The sequence below is a fragment of the Homo sapiens genome, chromosome 22, assembly GCF_000001405.40.
Source record: "Homo sapiens chromosome 22, GRCh38.p14 Primary Assembly".
Lineage (NCBI taxonomy): Eukaryota > Metazoa > Chordata > Mammalia > Primates > Hominidae > Homo > Homo sapiens.
The window spans coordinates 33,825,699-33,844,791 of record NC_000022.11 but is presented as its reverse complement, the minus strand read 5'-3'; the positions used below and the strand labels follow the sequence as shown (position 1 = coordinate 33,844,791).

At 45.1% G+C, this 19,093-nt stretch overlaps 1 protein-coding gene across 22 annotated transcripts in view, besides 3 other annotated features; it reads left to right on the top strand.

Moving 5' to 3' along the window:
* LARGE1 (LARGE xylosyl- and glucuronyltransferase 1) overlaps positions 1 to 19,093 on the top strand; it is an 856,162-nt gene that overhangs the window by 78,033 nt on the left and 759,036 nt on the right. The gene's annotated exons all lie outside the window — the stretch shown is intronic.
* Positions 137 to 431: an enhancer, noted in NCBI's record as "tiled region #672; HepG2 Activating non-DNase unmatched - State 23:Low, and K562 Activating non-DNase unmatched - State 24:Quies". NCBI's record gives its function as "activates a minimal TATA promoter and a strong SV40 promoter by Sharpr-MPRA in HepG2 and K562 cells {active_cell/tissue: HepG2 | K562}" and the evidence as "EXISTENCE:reporter gene assay evidence [ECO:0000049][PMID:27701403]".
* Positions 2,832 to 2,891: an enhancer, noted in NCBI's record as "active region_18886". NCBI's record gives its function as "activates an Ori minimal core promoter by ATAC-STARR-seq in GM12878 lymphoblastoid cells {active_cell/tissue: GM12878}" and the evidence as "EXISTENCE:reporter gene assay evidence [ECO:0000049][PMID:35858748]".
* Positions 9,076 to 9,633: an enhancer, noted in NCBI's record as "OCT4-NANOG hESC enhancer chr22:34231147-34231704 (GRCh37/hg19 assembly coordinates)". NCBI's record gives its function as "activates a minimal SCP1, AML or CMV promoter by ChIP-STARR-seq in naive H9 embryonic stem cells {active_cell/tissue: H9 hESC(naive)}" and the evidence as "EXISTENCE:reporter gene assay evidence [ECO:0000049][PMID:30033119]".

The window sequence follows — 19,093 nt, the reverse complement described above, 5'->3', positions numbered from 1 at the left end:
CCGAGATTGTGCCATTGCATTCCAGCCTGGGCAACAAGAGCCAAACTCCGTCTCAAAAAAAAAAAAAAAGTTTGGAAACCACACTCTTATTTTATAAACAAGGAAACCAAAGCACACAGAGGGGAGGTGATATACCCAAGTTCGCACGGTAGGCAAGTCGCCAATCCCCAGACCCCATGGCAGCTGTTTTTATGCTCTTCAGTCATGCCGGTCCCCAGTCATTACCCTTCAGACCTCTTGCACAGGGGCCCCAAGGAAGATAGGTCACCTGCATTCCAGCTTCCAGTGCTGCCTGATCGTCCTAAGTGGAAGCTGTGCTGAAATTGAAATCACTTCCTGTGTTCAAAGCACCGAAAGGAGAGCCCCATTGGAGATGCACTTACTGCATGCTCCCAGCTCCCAGCTTGCTCTTTACTAAACTCCCTGTGCCAGGGAGCATTATAGCAGGAGGAATACATTGAATTTGGGAAACAAACAGTCTCATTGGGACTCTTCCTGGGCTAGAAAGCCTGTATGTTGAACACTTAATCATTTTTAATGCTTGTTTCACCTGCTCTCATCTTTATTTGCCCTCAATAAAACCAAGAAACCTTGGACGGTCTCAAGAGGTATCCTGTCTTTCAGGGTTAGGGACACTGTGGAACACAGAATCTAGGGTTGCAAGTCTTGTCTGTAAATTGGAGGTTTTTTCTTGTCTTTTTTTTTTTTTTTTGAGACGGAGTTTCACTTTTGTCACCCAGGCTGGAGTGCAGTGGCACCATCTCGGCTCACTGCAACCTCCGCCTCCCGGGTTCAAGCGATTCTCCTGCCTCAGCCTCCCAACTAGCTGGGATTATAGGTTCCCACCACCATGCCCAGCTAGTTTTTTGTATTTTTAGTAGAGACGGAGTTTTAATGTGTTGGGCAGCCTGGTCTCGAACTGCTGACTTCAGGTGATCCGCCCGCCTTGGCCTCTTAGGAAAGAAAGGAGATGAGTAAACTAGAAGTGGGAGGAAGGGTGCCGGGAACAGACTGTGGGAACAGAGTTGCACATATATTCTCTTACGGCCATTTTGGACCAGTGGCCTTTAAACTTCTTTTACTGCACTCAAACCTGCAGGATAAGACTTGTTTTCATCAGTAACATTTGAGTAGAGGTTTGGCCAGGTTGTGGGTACAGGGAGGGCTTGGGGCAGGGGTGGGACCTCTGGAGAGGATGGTGGTGGGACTGCTAGAGGGTTTGAGTGCGGTTTGAATAAACCCCCATATGCATTTTGGATCTTCCTGCATCCGCTACTCTTTCCCTGTCTACCTCTGTTGAGACCTCTTTAATTTTTTATTTTTATTTATTTATTTATTTATTTATTTATTTTTTTGAGAGGGAGTCTTGCTCTATCCCTCAGGCTAGAGTGCAGTGGTGCAATCTCGTCTCACTGCAAACTCTGTCTCCTGGGGTCGGGCGATTCTCCTGCCTCAGCCTCCCAAAGTGCTGGGATTACAGGCATGAGCCACTGTGCCTGGCCCAAAGTGCCAATCCTTACAGCCACCCTCTCTGCCTTCCAGTCTGGAAGGGACATACTCCCGACCCACTGCAGTATACTGAACAAAGATGTTCACACGCACAGGGCGGTGGGGAAGGAGAGCTGACCCATTCACAAGCAGGGAAGATAGAACGGAAAATCAAGGACAGCTTCACAGAAGAGATAAAGCCTGGGTTGGGTTGTGAGGATGAAAAGGATGTCTTCCAGGAAGGCTAGGAGTATGGAAATCCAGGGCCACGTGAACAACATAGACAGGACCCCCCCAGAGGAACAAAACAGATGCCCTGTTTGGAGAACTGTAGGTGTTGTGGTTTTTTTGTTTTGTTTTGTTTTGTTTTGTTTTGTTTTGTTTTGTTTTGTTTGTGCTAGAATGGGAAATGTGAGTGAGAGAGAGCAACAGGTAAAATGCTGGAGACATTCTCAAGAGTAACATCCCAGCTGCCCTCTAGATCAGTAGCCATTAGCGGCATGTGGCTACTTTAAATGAGTTGAAATGAAATAAAATTAAAAATACAGTTCCTTAGTCTCAATAGCCACCTGCAGCTAGTGGCCACCATATTTTAGAGCACAGATGTAGAAAATATACATCATGACTGTTGGGCAGTGCTGGGCTGAATGTTTCCTTATTTGGCTCACATCTGTCAAGCTGCACCTGGTGTTTCGTGACACCTGCACGCGTCAGGTTTTGGAGTGGCTTGCTTCGTTTTGGTAGAAGAGCCTGTACTGGCTGCTCAGGGCCACAGTGGATGTGCCAGAGAGATTGAATGTATAGTTAGAAGCAATGTACAATTGCTCAAGATATGAATATTAGTAACTTTGTTTTATTTTTTAGCACTGCTCAGATGAATATATAAAAATCCGAAGAAATATGTTATTTCCCCTCTAAGCCAGCAGAGCTACTAGTTTTATTAAGCAGACAATGGCAAATCTATTTTTAATTTAATTTTTTATTAAAAAATGCCCTACTGCTTGAGATTCTAATCTCTAGCTGAATAGTAAGTGTCATTTTCGAGTTGCGAATCGCCAGAGCAACAGCGTGCGTCGAAGGCACTTAATAAATAGGATTCGGTGCTTTACGTCCGTGTAGAGACAAAAATAGATCAAAAAGCTTTTCGATTTTACTTTTGAGTACAGTGTTCTGACTTTCTAGATGGTAAGGAACCATTTAGAACTATAAAGGGATTTCGATTTCGATAACAGTAACTGTGTTTAATGTTACAAACTTTCTATTTTGTAAGTGGCTTTCTTTGAAGTCCTGTTGGCAGTTTGTTAAATATTTTAGACTGTTATTTGTGACCAAGAGGTTCAGTTTGGAGGACTTTTTGTGATTCACCCGTGTGCTTTAAAATAATTTGCCACTATTTTTGGAGTACTCGGTCCCAGGAGATTTGTGCATGAGTCCTGATTTTGTCTCTTAGTAGCAGTGTGACTCAGGGCAAGTCACATAGCCTGTGCTGAGGATCTCTTGGCTTTCTGACTTTGTATTTATTCACCCTGCTTAGTTTTCCCAGGGAGACCCACACTCACACCCACCCTTTAGCCCATGGACTTTGGTGGAGATGATATTGTGCAGGGCTTCAGGGGGAGACATAGGACTCAGATTATTCCTAATACTGGCTTATAGTAATTGGCTTAGAGGTGGTTTCATGACCTAGTTGGAGCCCACAAGATGTGATGAGGCTTTTGTTGGGGCTGTTGAGAGGTATGTGTGTTCTTTCCCACTGGCCTTGAACTCAGAGGTTGGAGCTGCGGATATTGTAGCTACATCCAACCTAGTAGCTGTCTTGCTACTGCATGGCATCTGAGTATGAAGTCCGTGTGGATGAGAGCAGAGCTGAGGTGGAGAGGGACCAGGCCATCTCCTGGACCCAGATCAAACCTTGCCACAGGGTAGATTCACCTCTGGACCTTACAGATTGTGAACTATTCAGTCCTTTATTTTGCCTGCATTAGTTTGAGTTGGATTTTCTGTCACTTTCATTGGAAAGCTCCCTCAAAAACTCTGAAACATTTTTTGTACATTTGTAAGAGGAAAAAAAAATGAGAGTAACAGAACAGACGCACCTTGGCTTAGCATAGATTGCATCCTGCTAAACCCATCGTAAGTTGAAAATATCAAGTTCAAAATTTGCGTTTAATACATTTAACCTACATTACAGCATAGTTTAGCTTAGCCTGCCTTAAACATGCTCACTTTCATTGGCCTGTATTTGGGCAAAATCATGCAACCTAAGCCTAGGTATATTAAATACTGTACTGAAAATGAAAAACAGAATGGTTATATGGGTACTCAAGTATAGTTTCTATTGAATGCATATTGCTTTTGCATCATCATAAAGCTGGAAAGTCATCCAGGTGCAGTGGCTCACGCCTGTAATCCCAGCACTTTGGGAGGCTGAGGCGGGTGGATCACTTGAGCCCAGGAGTTCGAGACCAGCCTGGGCAACGTGACGAAACCTTGTCTGTATAAAAACTAGAAAAATTAGATGGTCATGGTAGCATGTGCCTGGGGAGTTTAGGCTGCAGTGAGCCGTGATCACGCCACTGTGCTCCAGCCTGGGTGACTGAGCGAGACCCTTTCCCAGAAAAAAAAAAAGCTGAAAAATCTAAGTCGAATTATCCTAAATCGGGGACTGTCTGTACTTACCTTATATCTAGGGTTGCTGTAAAGATGAAGGAGGGCAATAGATCCAATAGTACTTTAAAAGTGGTAAAATACTAGATATTTGCAAGAAAAGATGCTAGAACCTTTCACACCAAATTTTGACTGTGTGAGAAATAAATCAACAATGTAGTTTCACAGCTCCAAGCTAATAGAGATTAAACTATATTACTCTCAGTATTTTGCCAAAGTGAGTTGGTCTTCAAAAATAGTTTTAAAAGAATGTATGTATAAAAAGTTTTTAAAGACAGGAAGTAAAACTGCAACAGGATTTCTTATTCATTTTTATGACCATTTTTGTCTTTTAAAAACTAGGTCCCTTTTTATGCATGGATTCTATTATTTTTCCTAGATTTTACAGTGAGGGGATGTGCATTTTCTTGAGGGGGTGCCGATTTGGTGCAGTGCTGCTTTGCATATATTATTAAATCAAATAGTTTTATAATTGAATATGAAGTAGGGCAAAATCCTAAACCTAGTTAGTATGGGTGTGCATTTCCTGCGTATTCATTTTCCTGTGTTGGTTTACATAGTTTCTTACCACCTTCAATTCGGAGGCATTTTAGAGGCATTTTCTCTAATGATCTGGCCCATAGATCGTTTCATAAGTAAATGGGATCAGCAGGGTTTTATGTCTCCTACAGCAGAAGGTGCCTGGGCTTTAGGGTTGAATGCATCTGGGTTTGAAGCCTGGAGCCCCCACGTTTCCTGGGTCCAGGTGATCTTCTCTGGAACAATGAGGGGCATAGTTCATTGTAGTAGGCATGCATGAAAGTTAGATGAGGTGACGCAAGTCAAAGTGCCTCATACCTGGTAGGTAGTTAATAATCGCTTTTCTTATTTTTTTATTTCATGTAAACGTGTGATTTGAAGGCAGTCAGTCTGTCTCTAGGGAAATTAAGAATTTTAGCAAAGAATCAATTGGTCCCCATAGCATTCATATTTTAACTGTTCAGGCTACTAAATCTTATTCTCACTAGTTGTTCTGTTTTTGTGATCTATACAGGCTGCGGTAGAATGAGAATGTTCTCTATTGGCATGCTAACATATGGTCACTTATTTGTTCAGTTATTTATTTGTTTGTTCCAACATATGTGTAAATGGGGATCTTCTCTGCCAGGGGTTGAGGAAAACATGCTTTTTTCTCGCTGATATGGTTTGGATGTTTGTCTCCTCCAAATCTCATGTTGCAGTGAAATCCACAGTGTTGGAGATGGGGCTGGTGGAAGGTAATTAGATCATGGGGACTGATTCCTCATGAATGGGTTAGCACTGACCCCTTGGTGATGAAACAGTTCTTACTCATGAGAAATCTGGTTGTTTAAAAGAATCTGAGACCTCCTCCCTCTTTCTTGCTCCCACTTTTGTCATGTGACGTGTCTGCTCCTCTTTTACCTCCCACCATGATTGTAAGTTTCCTGAGGCCCTCTCCAGAAGTGCAGAAGATGTGGGTGCTATGCTTCTTGTACAAGCCTGCAGAACCATGAGCCAGTTAAACCTCTTTTCTTTATAAGTTACTCAGCCTCAGGAATTTCTTTCTAGCGATGCAAAAATGAACTAATATCCTAAATTATTTCTTGACTTTTTGGTGGGTCTATGGACTGGGCTATTTCTGAAGCCACTGTTTAGGTAAAAGCATTGGTTTCTATCAGAAATTCTACATTCACTTCCTCTCCTGGCAAAGGTTTTTCTATTATGGGAGTAGTTCATTCCTTTCATTTTTTTCCTCCCTGATATAAACAAAAAACGTGGAGAGCCGTCACGGGTAAGATGGATTGGATTAATTCTGCAGACACAATCAGGGAGACCCAGGAGCCTTTGGGGGAGTGAGGGAGATGAACATCATCTCAGGAAGAACTTTTAACCTCTGGAACTCCCCACCAGTAGGACGGACTGTTCCAGAACGCAGTGGTGATCTACTGCCAAAGATGTTTTATTAGGATAGAAATCGCTAAAGGACAATTATTTATTTATTTATTTATTTTGCTGGGGACAGGGTGGAGTGCAGTGGCACAATCATAGCTCACACTGCAGCCTCAAACTCTTGGGCTCAAGTGATCCTCCTGCCTCAGCCTCCCAAGTAGCTGGGACTGCAGGCATGCTCAACAACATCCAGCTAATCTTTAAACTTTTTGTAGAGATGGGGTCTTGCCCTGTTGCTCAGGCTGGTCTCAAACTCTTGGCCTAAAGGAATCTTCCCATCTTGGCCTCCCAAAGTGCTGGGAATACAGGCATGAGCCACTACACCTGTCCAATTTTTTAAAACACATTTTTTGAGATCCTAGTGGCTGTATGAGTCACTGAAGATTGAATAGACGAGATTTCAGCAGCCATAGTCCCCACATAGAATGTCAGAAGCTTGAAGTTCCATGTTACTAGAGATTGTGTAGGGGTAATGATTGAGAGCAAGAGTCTGCATTCTGTGGGCCAGTCTGTCTTCCTTTAGCCCATGAGCTAAGAATGGCTTTTACATGTTTAAAGTGTCCAAAAAAATCAAAACAAGAGTACTGTTCTGTAGCACGTGAAAATTAAATTTCACTGTCCATAAATTAAGTTTTCTTGGCACACAACCATGCCTGTTTCCTCTTATCTGTGGTTGCTTTCCTACTACAGTGATTGCGAGTTGCCAGAGAGAAAGTATGGCATGCAGAGCTTACGTGATTTACTATCTCACCTTACACATAAAAATTTTGCTGGCCCGTGTTCTAAAGTAGAATATCCTCAACTTTCCCACCCTGAAACTTTGTGGAAAATGATAATGTTTGTTCAGTGTACTGGGATAAGTGGAAGATATCTTGCTGGCCTGGGGCTGAAGGCACCACCTTAGCACACCTGAGGCTCATTTGGGGCAGAGCCTCTTGAAGTTCTCATTGAGAGCCGGCTCTGGCCATAGGCTTCAGCCCTACCTGCAGCTGTTTGATACGAACACACTCACCTGGGTCAGCTCTTCTTCCGAGGCATCCTGAAGATGCCTCATGGACTCAGATGATCATAGTCATCTATGTAGCTGACTCTCACAAGGGTTTTCACAGTTTACAAATGCTTTTCACTTAGGCTGCTTGCTTTTTCTCTGTTTTCAATGGTTACGTTTGTCTCTCACAATCCTTTTGGTCCTGGTCTCTCTCCACTTGAATTAGCCTTTCTTGAAGATGTTAGGGCATGCATGAAAGTGTTTGTTGTTAAAAAATTCGTAATGTTGCAGGGGGAGACAGGACAGGATATATATACATACACACATGTATATATAAACACATATATGTATACTATATATGTGTGTGTGTATATATCCTGTTCGTATCCATATGTACACATATGTATGTATGTATAGGTGTGTGTGTGTGTGTGTGTGTGTATATGTAATACTCTCTACTCCATATATATATATATGGAGTGGCATGTGAAAATTAAATTTCACTGCCCATAAATTAAAAGTATTGCAAAATCCCTGTGCCTTTGGCATTTCAATCACAATCATGGATGTAGCAGTGGGACAAGAGGCTGGAGAAAGCAGGGCCAGATCTTATAGAGTTAGCTGGAGGCGAAGCTCACTCTCCCACATGGAGGTCCCGTGTGCTGCCTGGGTTCTAGCCACATTCTTCTATATTGCTTGGTTGTACTACAGTTACTATTCTGGGATTCATGCACGACCCATCTCCCTTTTCGTTCTCAGTATGTTCATGGTAAACTGCTATTATCTGAACTGGCTTATTGAGTCTCTGTTTCTTGTGATCAGGTCATAATGGTAGTTGGTACTTACAGTGTTCCAGGTCTTGGCCTCACACTTTACATGGATTAATTCTTTTTTTTTTTTTCCAGTAAGGTAGATAATGATGGCCATCCCTATTTTACAGATAAAAAATCTGAATCACAGAAGGGTTAAGTTACTGGTCTAGGTCACCAGCTAGGAAATGAGAGGACTGAGGCTTGAACCCAGGTGGCTTGTTGCTGAAGCTCATTCTTTTTCTACCTTGGGCTGCCACTCGAAGCCATGGAATGCAGCTGAGATGCCTGGGTGTGGAACTTGGTGGGAACAGAGGGAACATTGAACCTTAAATGGGTCACAAACCTAGATAAGTGAGATCGGGCCTGGTCTGGTACAGCAGTTGTAGAAGTTGCAGGGTTCTTGGTGTGCAGGAAGCAAATGGACAAAAAAATATGACAAGGCTGGTCCTTGGTCCTGCTGGCCTGAGGGAACCTTCCAGTTTTCTGGCAGGGACTGTGAATGGGGAGACTAACACAGTTGACACCATTGTGTGCCAGGCATTTGTTACTGTATTTAATCCTCCTAATAACTCTGCAACTGGTGGTCTTGCTTCCATTTTCCCATATTACATAGGAGCTACCATGCTCAGAGAGGTAGAGAGCTCCCCTAGGATCAACTAGTGAATGGGGGCCAGAGCCAGAATTTAAACTTTGGAACCATCTGCCTCCACTGTCTTTCCTTTCCATCACACCAGCTCTGTAGGAAGCAGGCTGAACTGGACTGCACTCTAGTCACTGTCAACCTTTCCTGGTCACGGATCCCTTTGACAGTCTCTTGAAATGTGGCCTCTTCCCCAGAAGTGCTTGTTTGTGTACATGTATGCACACAGAATTTTGAATGCAAAATCTGGAGCTTTACAGAATCCCATTTATGGGTTCAGAGCTGTTTCTGACTTTGTAAAGTCAAGCTAAACCGGAGCTAATACAGTTGGGAGGAAGAGGAATGGAGTGATTGCTATAACTACTGGCTTCATCTGGATCTTTTTCCTGATTAGCAGTGACTTTGCTCATTCTGGTAGTTAACGCCTAATGTGTGTTAGGTTCCAGACCCAGACCTCACATGCTCGATTTTATTTCAGGACTGCTTTAACCGTATGCCTCAATTTCCCCTATTTTAAAGATGATAAAAGGAAGCTTGGAATTTGGACATTTATCCATGCCAGGTGAGCTGGAGAACCTGGCTTCTAACTTAGCTCTTCGTTATAACGACTTTCCAAATAGGCCGCAGTTAGTGCCAGCAAGTCTTTAGCATGAATAAGTGAGTGCTTGAGGATATTGCCAGGCTCTCAAATGTCATTTCTCACCTGTCTCTGTTAGGCAGCTCAGATCCACCAGCCTGGGGAATGCTGCTGAATTTCGGTTTTTATCCTGAATGCCATCCGATGCATTAATTAACATGACTGTGAAAGCACCTCACACTCTTGGAGGGTTATAGAACTAGGAAGTCCTTGCAGCCTCTATTGCAGGCAGCAGTGCAGTTAATCCCTGCTGAGACAGTGCCAAGCTGTCCAGGGAGTTGAAAATCACAGGAGGTTTGCAAAGACTTGCCTGCCTTTACAGACTCCAAAGTGTAGAATTGTAAATGACAGGACACTTAAAAATGCCACATATTGTGTGAATGCTTCTCTAGCAGTAAAATATTATACCACCATAAAGCCCTTATGAACATGTAATAATAATTTCTGCATAAGCACCAGCAATAAAGTGAAATTCAGCTCCATCCAGTTTTGCAAGAATTTTCCCTGGTGGAGAGTGCTAGCCATTGTGTGAATTCTCATCTGGGTGAAGAGAAACAAAATCCATTTCTCTGAACATGGTTATTCTTTGGAAATAGCTTTGGCCTCAAACTTTAGAGCAAAAATTATCCTGCATGGGAAATGCTAACTGTATCATTTCTAAAGCTGTAGCTTTGTCGCTGAGGCATATTAACATGATAGAAACTTTTCCTTGGGGCTCATGACTTGCCTCTGCCTGATTTTTTTCATAAACTTAAAGACCAGTGAATGGAGTGAGCAGTGCTCTCTTGAAAATTCACTTTTACCATTTGGCTTTTTTAAAAGAAAATTTTGTTCATCTTAAATGTTTATAGTAAAAACTATAGAATGGGATGATAAAGAAAACTTGCTCATATTCCTACCACCCTCCAGTTATTGCCGAAGGTACTTTCACTCGCGTCCGTGTGAAGAGACCACCAAACAGGCTTTGCGTGAGCAATAAAGCTTTTTAATCACCTGGGTGCAGGCGGGCTGAGTCCGAAAAGAGAGTCAGCGAAGGGAGATGGGGTGGGGCTGTTTTATAGGATTTGGGTAGGTAGTGGAAAATTACAATCAAAGGGGGTTGTTCTCTAGCTGGCAGGGGTGGGGGACACAAGGTGCTCACTGGGGGAGCTTTTGAGCCAGGATGAGCCAGGAGAAGGAGTTTCACAAGGTAATGTCATCAGTTAAGGCAGGAACCTGCCATTTTCACTTCTTTTGTGATTCTTCAGTTACTTCAGGCCATTTGGATGTATACGTGCAGGTCACAGGGGATATGATGGCTTAGCTTGGGCTCAGAGGCCTGACAGGTACATATTTTATATTTTCTTGATTATGATTATTTTTGCTCCCTATTTGTCTGAAAGCTCTACTAGAGAAGAAATTTTGTCCGTTTTGGCTGCTGTAGTATCCTTAGCCCTTAAAAAGACCTTATCACATAATAGATGCTAAACAAATATTAGTTGAGTAAGTATTATATTCTTGGTGATAGAAGGAGTCAGGCTTTATTACCTTGAATCCCAGCTTTCCCACTCGGTGGCTGAGTGGCTCCAGTAAGTTATTCAGCTTCCCCGAATTCCAGTGTTCTGCTAAAATGACAATAATTGAGCTGGGCATGGTGGCTCATTGCACGTAATCCCAGTACTTTGGGAGGCTGAGATGGGTGGATAACCTGAGGTCAGGAGTTCGAGACCAGCCGGACCAACATAGTGAAACCTCGTCTCTACTAAATACAAAAAATTAGCCAGGCGTGGTGGCGCATGCCTGTAACCCCAGCTACTTGGGAGGCTGAGGCAGGAGAATCGTTTGAACCCAGGAGGCAGAGGTTGCAGTGAGCTGAGATCACGCCATTGCACTCCAGCCTGGGCAACAAGAGTGAAGCTCCATCTGCAAAAACAAAAATAAAAATAAATAAATAAAAATGACAATAATTGTGCACAAAGACTGACCTCACCTAGTGTGTTAGTTTGCTAGCCCTATCGTAACAAGGTACCACAGACTGGGTGGCTTAAATGATAAAAATATATTCTATCACAGTTCTGCAGGCTAGAAGTCCAAGATGAAGTTGTTAGCAAGGTTGGCTTCTTCCAGGGCCTCTCTCCTTGGCTTGTGGAAGGCTGTCTTCCTGTGCCTTCATATGGTTTCCCCTCTGTGTTGTATCCTTATCTCCTCTTCTTATAAGGACACTGGTCATTCTGGATTAGGGCCCACTCATACATTCCCATCTTACCCTAATAACTTCTTTAAAGATCCTGTCTTCAAATACAATCATATTCTTAGGTACTGATGGTTAGAACTTTAACATATGCATTTTAGGGGAGGCACAGTTAAGCCTGTAACCGAGGGTCACTGGTTTGATTAGACTTTATAATTGGTAATCCGCCATTCAGATGTTTCAGTATTACATTAGTTTCAAATCTAATTGAGGAGATAATGTAATAAAAGGTAAACATAAATAAAAGTCAGCTACCTCTACAGGCTGAGACATCATCTGCTTGGTGAGCACAGTGCTCTTGGGGTTCTGGAGTTGACTGCCACCCCTGCACTGGGGCATCCTGCAGTTCTCCCGAAGGATGAAGGCACAGGTGCCTCTGAGACTTACTGAATCACTGTGGCCTGTGTTTACCCACCTGAGGGCAGTCACCACACCTCAGACCAGATGGGCCCGTAGTGCCTGCCAGGCCATGTCTGGCCCAGTCCAACAACAGTCGTCTAATAACATTTAGCACTTATTGAGTGCTTACTGTATACTGGACATAGATCCTGGGCCTCAGTCCAGAGTTCCAGTTAACTGCATGTGCCAGACCACACAGCATGTGCCAGAGTCAGTGTCAGGCTCTGTGCTCTCTTGCCTGCTGAGCTGGACCGGTTCCCAGGGAAGATATCTTTTTGCTGGCAGCTGGGAGCCCCAGCCAGTAGCAAGTCTGGGGCTGCAGCTTAAACAGCCTATGCACAGTGGGTACAGTCAGCTGATTCCGAGCCCTCTGGGGTTGCCGCATCTTAATCGACCCTTCCTGACTTCCATGCTGTTGAGGCCTGTATTGGAGGGTCCAAGCCACAGCTTGCGTGAAGCCTGGGGGCTCTGGGTCCAGGCTCCCTTGGTCACTGACAGCACTGACAGCACTGTCCCTTAACACTGACAGTGTGTTAAGGCTCGAGTTTGTCCCATGGGCCCTCCAGTTGTGTTTTGGACCTCTGTACCTCCATTCCCTCTCAGTTCTGTTCCTGATCTGTCTTGTTCTTTAGACAGAGCTCACAGGGTACCTCGGGCTTGGGCTTTGCTGTCTGGGACTTTTCACCGATGAGAATGGGACTCCATACATGAGAGAGGAAGATGGCTGTGTGCTGTCTTCTGGTTCTGGAGCTCGAGCTAAGTGAGCTCTGCATGTTTGAGCTTCCTAGGAATCTGGTCATTATGACTGATAGGTGCCAGGACTCATGCTGAAGGTACTCCAGTAAGAAAAGCACGGTATTATGGGAGCCCAGGAAAGGGGCCACTGACTAGAGGCTTCCAGGGAGATGTTTGATTCCTGAATCTTGAAAGCTGAGTTGGTGTTAGCTGGGTGAAAGGAAGAAGGGAGGGCTTTGCAGCCAGTGGGAACTGCAGGAACAGAAAGGTGAGAAACGTTTGAGGTGTGAAAGAGAGCATTATTCTAGGGCTGTTACTACCCATGTCCAGAAGCTTACGACTTGGAAAGGTGGAGTGGTTGCCTCGGGATTACGCCTGGGCCAGGCTGGGAGGGGCTTTGTGTGCTAGGCCAAGCAGCTTGAACGTTATCCTCTTTGGAGGCTCAAGTCTGTGTATGTGTATGTGTGTGTGTGTGTGTGTGTGTGTGTGTGTGTGTACATGCATGTGTGTGTGTTGTGTTAGGACCTGACCCTGTAGCTTCCACTGTTTGCTAGTGGTATGTCTATGTCTGAGTTTGCAAACTGCAAGTTCTTGTCCAGTTATCTTTTTTTAAAAACTTAGGAATACTTTTCCAATCCAATCGCTGGTTTTGGGAAGCCACTGTGAGTGGCTTGAGAGTGCTCCTCTGGCCCCAGGGGCCACTTAGGGACCTGGGCAGGCATCGGTCCTAGGGCAAGAGGAGAAGAGGCAGCTTCCGATGAGCCTCCCACTCCGTCCTCACGGCAGGGCTCCCCGCCCTCTCACCTGACATCTTCCAGCTCTCCAGGCCCTGGCTTCCTGTCTTCAGAGTGTTCTGGAGGAACAGGAAGGCAAAGCAGAGGGGGGGTGCATGTATGCACGCACATGCAAGATCAGAAGGGACTTTTTACGAATTCTTTCCTTGACACTCCTTTTTTTGTGTCGCAACTTTGCCTGTGAACCCTTAGAATCTCTGCTAATGAGCCGGTCGCAGTGGCTCATGCCTGTAATCCCAGCACTTTGGGAGGCAGAGGCGGGTGGATCACCTGAGGCCAGGAACCGAGATCGTGCCACTGCACTCCAGGCTAGGCGACAGAGCGAGACTCCGTCTCAAAAAAAAAAAAAAAGAAAAAAGAAAAAAATAATATCTGCTAATATGTGAGCAGTATCATCGTCATCACCACCATTGTCGTCTACATTGCTGTGGACCAAATGTTTGTGCCCCTGCAAAATCCATAGGAAACCTAACTTTCAAGGTGATGGTTTAGGCCTTTAGGTGACACTTAGGTCATGAAGGCAGAGCCCTCATGAATGAGATTAATGCTTTTATATAAAGAGACCTCAGAGAGCTCCCTCACCTCTTCTTCTACGTGAGGGCACAGCAAGAAGACTGCTGTCTGTGAAGCAGCAAGGGTGCCCTCACCAGACACTGAATCTGCTGCTTCCTGATCTTAAGCTTCTCAGCCTCCAGAATTGTGAGAAATTGTTTATAAGCCACCCAGTCTATGGTATTCAGTTAAAGTAGCCTGAGTGGGCCAAGAGAACAACCACCACCGCCATTGTCATCATTTCCAGTCTCTATAAGCTTGCTTGTATCAGCTTTGCTTGAGGTGTGTTTAATTCTCACAGTAACCGTAGGAGTTAGATACTTGTTGCATCCTCATTTCACCCTTGAGGAAACTGAGGCAGGGAAATGTTCAATAAATTGTCCAAGGTCACACAGCTGATAAGTAGCAGAGCTGGAGTTCAAAGGCAGGCCATCTGGCACAAGAGTCAGCTTTGAACCATTTCCTCCTGCCTCTCGTGGAGGAAATGTGTCCCTGACAATTCCTTCACCTGTGAGCTGGAAGGAAGGAAGAACTCGACAGCAGCCAGCTCCCTTTGCCTCGGCATCTGCATGGTGTTGGTTTCTTCTTCACTGTAGAGCTCCCCTAAGTTTTATGTTATAATCAAATGTGGTCAGCATTTGCTTATGGAATTTGATTTAGCTGGACAGTGTCTCTCTGTAAATTTTACAGATGGAGTGTCTCTTGAAGACAGAGTGGCCATGGGTCTCAGGCCTTGGGTGTCACGGTGGGAGCACACACGGTTGCTTTAATAAATGAGCAGAGAGCATGGTTGGCACCCGGCCCAAAGGACCTTGTTGACTGGTGGGCACATGGTATGTTACATCTGTCATTGTGAGAGAATTCCTCATCTTCCCACAGACATTATCTTGCCAAAGCACTTTTGCTTCCATCTCATCCTTTCCTTGGACAAGTCATCTATAATCTCTCAAGCAGGGGCCTGGTCTGCCTCCTGCCTTCACCCTTGTAGGGAATGGTGGTTTCTTCTTAGGATGACTGGGAGCTCCTTGGCTCAGAATGGGTTAACTCCAACCCGGGCTGCCTCCTGAGGACCTGTCCCCCTGGATCACTGTTGGTTTTAATCTTCATTATCTTGAATGGCAATGCTGTTAGCACCCAGGAGGGGTCCTTGAACAGCCAGATGGTGGCTGGATTTTTCTGCCAGTCATCAGTTTTCATCTGATTGCAGTGCAGGTGCAGGGAGGAGGAGGGGTTTTAGTAGTCCCCATGCCTTCCAGTGTTCAAGCACATTCCTCCAGGAACCATTAAAGGAACTATTAAGGCTGGGAGAATTTTTGAGAGGTAATATAGTGGATTCATTCACTTAATAAATATTTATTGAGCACCTACTGTGTGCCAGGAACTGTACTAAGCACCGGGGATACAGGAATGAGCGAAGCAAAGCCCTGTCCCAGTGGATCTTATAGTAAACAAACAAATAGGTATGAAATACGTCAGGTGGCATGGAGTGGTGAGAAGGGGAAATATGGCAGTTTAATGGTAGTGGGGTCAGAGGCTCTCTGGGCCATGCGTGAAGGGTGGGATGATGCTGTTTTAGAAAAAGAGACTACAAGACCGGGTGCGGTGGCTCACACCTGTAATCCCAGCCCTTTGGGAGACTGAGGTGGGCGGATCACTTGAGGTCAGGAGTTCGAGACCAGCCTGGACAACATGGCGAAACCCCGTCTCTATTAAAAATACAAAAATTAGCCAGGCACGGTGGCACGTGCCTGTAATCCCAGCTACTAGGGAGGCTGAGGCAGGAGAATCGGTTGAACGTGGGAGGAGTTGGTTGCAGTGAGCCGAGATCACGCCACTGCACTCCAGCCTGGGCAACAGAGCAAGACTCTCTCAAAAAAAAAAAAAAAAAAAAAAGAAAAAGAGACTTCACAAAGCATCTCTGAGAAAGTAGCATTTGATCTAGCACTGAATGAAGTGAGAAAGCGAGCCTCTGAGATAATTGAGGAAGAACATTCCAGCGAGAGGGAATAGCAAGTACACGGACCTTGATTAGCAAGGAGGCTGTGGTGGCTGAGTAAAGCTAGGGAATGCTATACACCAAATTTATGCACAAAGAACTTTTTTCCTTCTCTTCTTGTAGCATTATTATGTTTTCTCATTCATCCGTTTATGCATGCATTCATTTAGTAATTCTTTACTGAAGCTAACATTGGTGTTGGGCACAACGTTAGGGACTGGGACTTTAGACTTCAGTGTGTTCCTTTGGGGAAACCACAGGGGTGCTGGGTGCTGGCATGGAAGGTACCCTCAGAGTTGTCTTTCTCAACGTCGCTTACTTCTCACTCCTCCTTCATCACTAGGCTTCAAAGAAGAGCCTGTGGCTAAAGTTTTCACTTTCTTAGCTTTGCCACCCAAACCTGGCTTCCTTCCCACAAGCTGCTGCTGTGTGCTGTTGATGACCTAGTTGTCAGATCTAAGCACCTTTCTTCTATCCTCATCTTTTCTGAACTCTGCAGTGGCACTTCATGCCATTGACCATCTCCTTCCTTGTTTAGAAGCCTTTCTGTCTGCCTTCCTTGAAGAGGACTCTCTCAGGATGCCCTGGATTCTTTAAGAACTCCCATCCAATCACCTGTGTCAGCGTCTCTCTTCCTGCCCTTCAAAGGCAGGTCACCTGCAGGTTCTGTGGCTTCTTCTCATGGATCAACTTACTCCCTTGGTATGTGAATTACCCCATCTGTCCTACTGGCACCTTTAAACTTAGCATCTTCAGTGCAGAGCTCATCTTCTCCCCTCCTGAGAATTCTTCCTTTACACTGCGTCTCTTCTGGTGAATACACCTTTGTCCCCTTCCGCCATCTCATTTCTTCTCATCTGCCCAAATCTTAGCAATTTCTGTAATACTCTCTGATATCATCTCTTTTATTCTAGTTCTTCTGCTCCCTGGGCTAAGTCTTCCATAGGACAATGGCTTTCAAACTGTGCTTCTCAGCCCTGCAGTATGCATCACCTGGGAACTTGTTGGAAATCCAAATTATCCAATCCCACCCTCGATCTCTATAATCCGAAACTCTAGGGGAGGAGGTGTTGAGGGGAGGGCAGCAATCTGTTTGAACAAAGCTCTCCAGGTGACAGTGATGTTCCTAAAGTTTGGGAACCGCTGAAGTAGACAGTGGAAGTAGCTTCCTTCCCAGTCTCCGTGACGGGCCCACTTGGCTCTACACCACGATGTCAGCTTTTTCTTCGAAAAGAACAGCCCTGATGTGATGCCTCTTCTCATCACACGCCCTCTGTGGCTCCCGCATTGGCCACGATGGGACAGATGTGAGTTCGTATTGTCCAGGAGTGAATTCAGGCCAGAACTTTTGCACTTATTTCCACTTTTCGGGGCTAACCCAGAATTGCTTTTTAAATGTACATTATATCCCTTTGTAAAGATGTGTCTCATTTTTTGCAGTCCATGTGCCAAAAGTTTATGTGTATTTTTTTGGCGGGGGGACAGAGGGGCGAGGAGGGTAATAGGACCTTCTTTTCAGTAAACTCTTTTTTTTGAGACCGGGTCTTGCTCTGTCACCCAGGCTGGAGTACAGTAGTGCGATCTCGGCTCACTGCAAGCTCCGCCTCCCGGGTTCACGCCATTCTCCTGCCTTGGCCTCCCGAGTAGCTGGGATTACAGGTGCCTGCCATCATGCCCAGCTAATTTTTTTTTTTTTTGTATTTTTAATAGAGACGGGGTTTCACCGTGTTAGCTAGGATGGTCTCGATCTCCTGACCTTATGATCTGCCCGCCTCGGCCTCCCAAAGTGCTGGGATTACAGGAGTGAGCCACCGTGCCCGGTCCAGTGAGCTCTTTTAAATGTCTTAGGAGAAAGCATTGATAAAAGTAGCTTTTGTTTGATAGGCTGCATCTTCTGGGTAATCCGGGGTGAATTGCCTCCATCCCAGACCCTTTTCAGGTGGAGGAGGCTGGGGTTAACTGATTTCTAAGGCTATTTCCAGCTTGGATATTCTAGGGTGAGATGGGTGTTGACTCTCATTTATCTGTTTTAAAGGGTTAAATTTTTTTTTATTGTTTTTTTAAAAAATGAGTTAAGATGAGAACTATTGTAGGCCAATGATAACAGGCTCCAATTCCTGAAACCTGTAGCTGTTCCCTGATTTGGAAATAGGAAAAGACCCTTTGTGGATGTGGTTAAGTTAAGGATCCTGAGATGAGAGAAGCATGGATTGTCCAGGTGGGTACTAAAGGCAATCACATGTCTCCTTATAAGAGGGAGGCAAGGCCGGGTTGATGGCTCTCGCCTGTAATCTCAGCATTTGGGGAGGCCGAGGCGGGCGGATCACAACGTCAGGAGTTTGAGACCAGCCTGGCCAAGATGGTGAAATTCTATCTCTACTAAAAATACAAAAATTAGCCGGGTGCGGTGGTGGATGCCTGTAATCCCAGCTACTCAGGAGGCTGAGGTAGGAGAACTGCTTGAACCCAGGAGGCGGAGGTTGCAGCGAGCCGAGATTGCGCCATTGTGCTCCAGCCTGTGCGACAGAGCGAGACTCCATCTTAAAAAAAAAAAAAAAAGGTATGCAAAGGGAGATTGAACACATAGGAGAAGGCAGTGTGACCCTGAGGGTAGAGACTGCAGTCATGCAGCCACAGGTCAAGGAATGCTGGCACTTATCAGAAGCTGCAAGAGTCGAGTAATAGATGTGTTTTCCCTGGAGTCCCTGGAGGGAGCACAGCCCTGCAGCACCTTGATTTTGGACTTCTGGCTTCCAAACTTGTGAGAGAGTTATGTTTCTGTTGTTTTAAGCCACCGTTTGTGCTATAGCAGACGTGGAATTTTACCACTATATTAAAAAAAGACAGAAGTGAACACTCCTGTGTTGAAATGTGATCTGGACAGCGGGTCTCTCTGTCCTTGGCATTGAGGTTCCTGGCAGGATGTATGTCTTCAGCACTGCCCTCCCCAGCTCTGTGCTCTTACTCAAGAGTGGCAGTTTCTGTCTCCCAGCCTTGTCCCTCCATTATAACGCCTTCCCACATCCACACCTGCTGTTTTGTTTTATTAATTGCAGCTGGGGAATGTAGCAGCTTCCAGTCTCTGTTGGAGTCAGGATTGATGGGTAGTGGGAAAAAGCCACAGTGGGCTTCGTTCCCTCTCTCTGTCACCATCTGATATGGTTTTGCTGTGGCCCCACCCAAATCTCACCTTGAATTGTAGTTC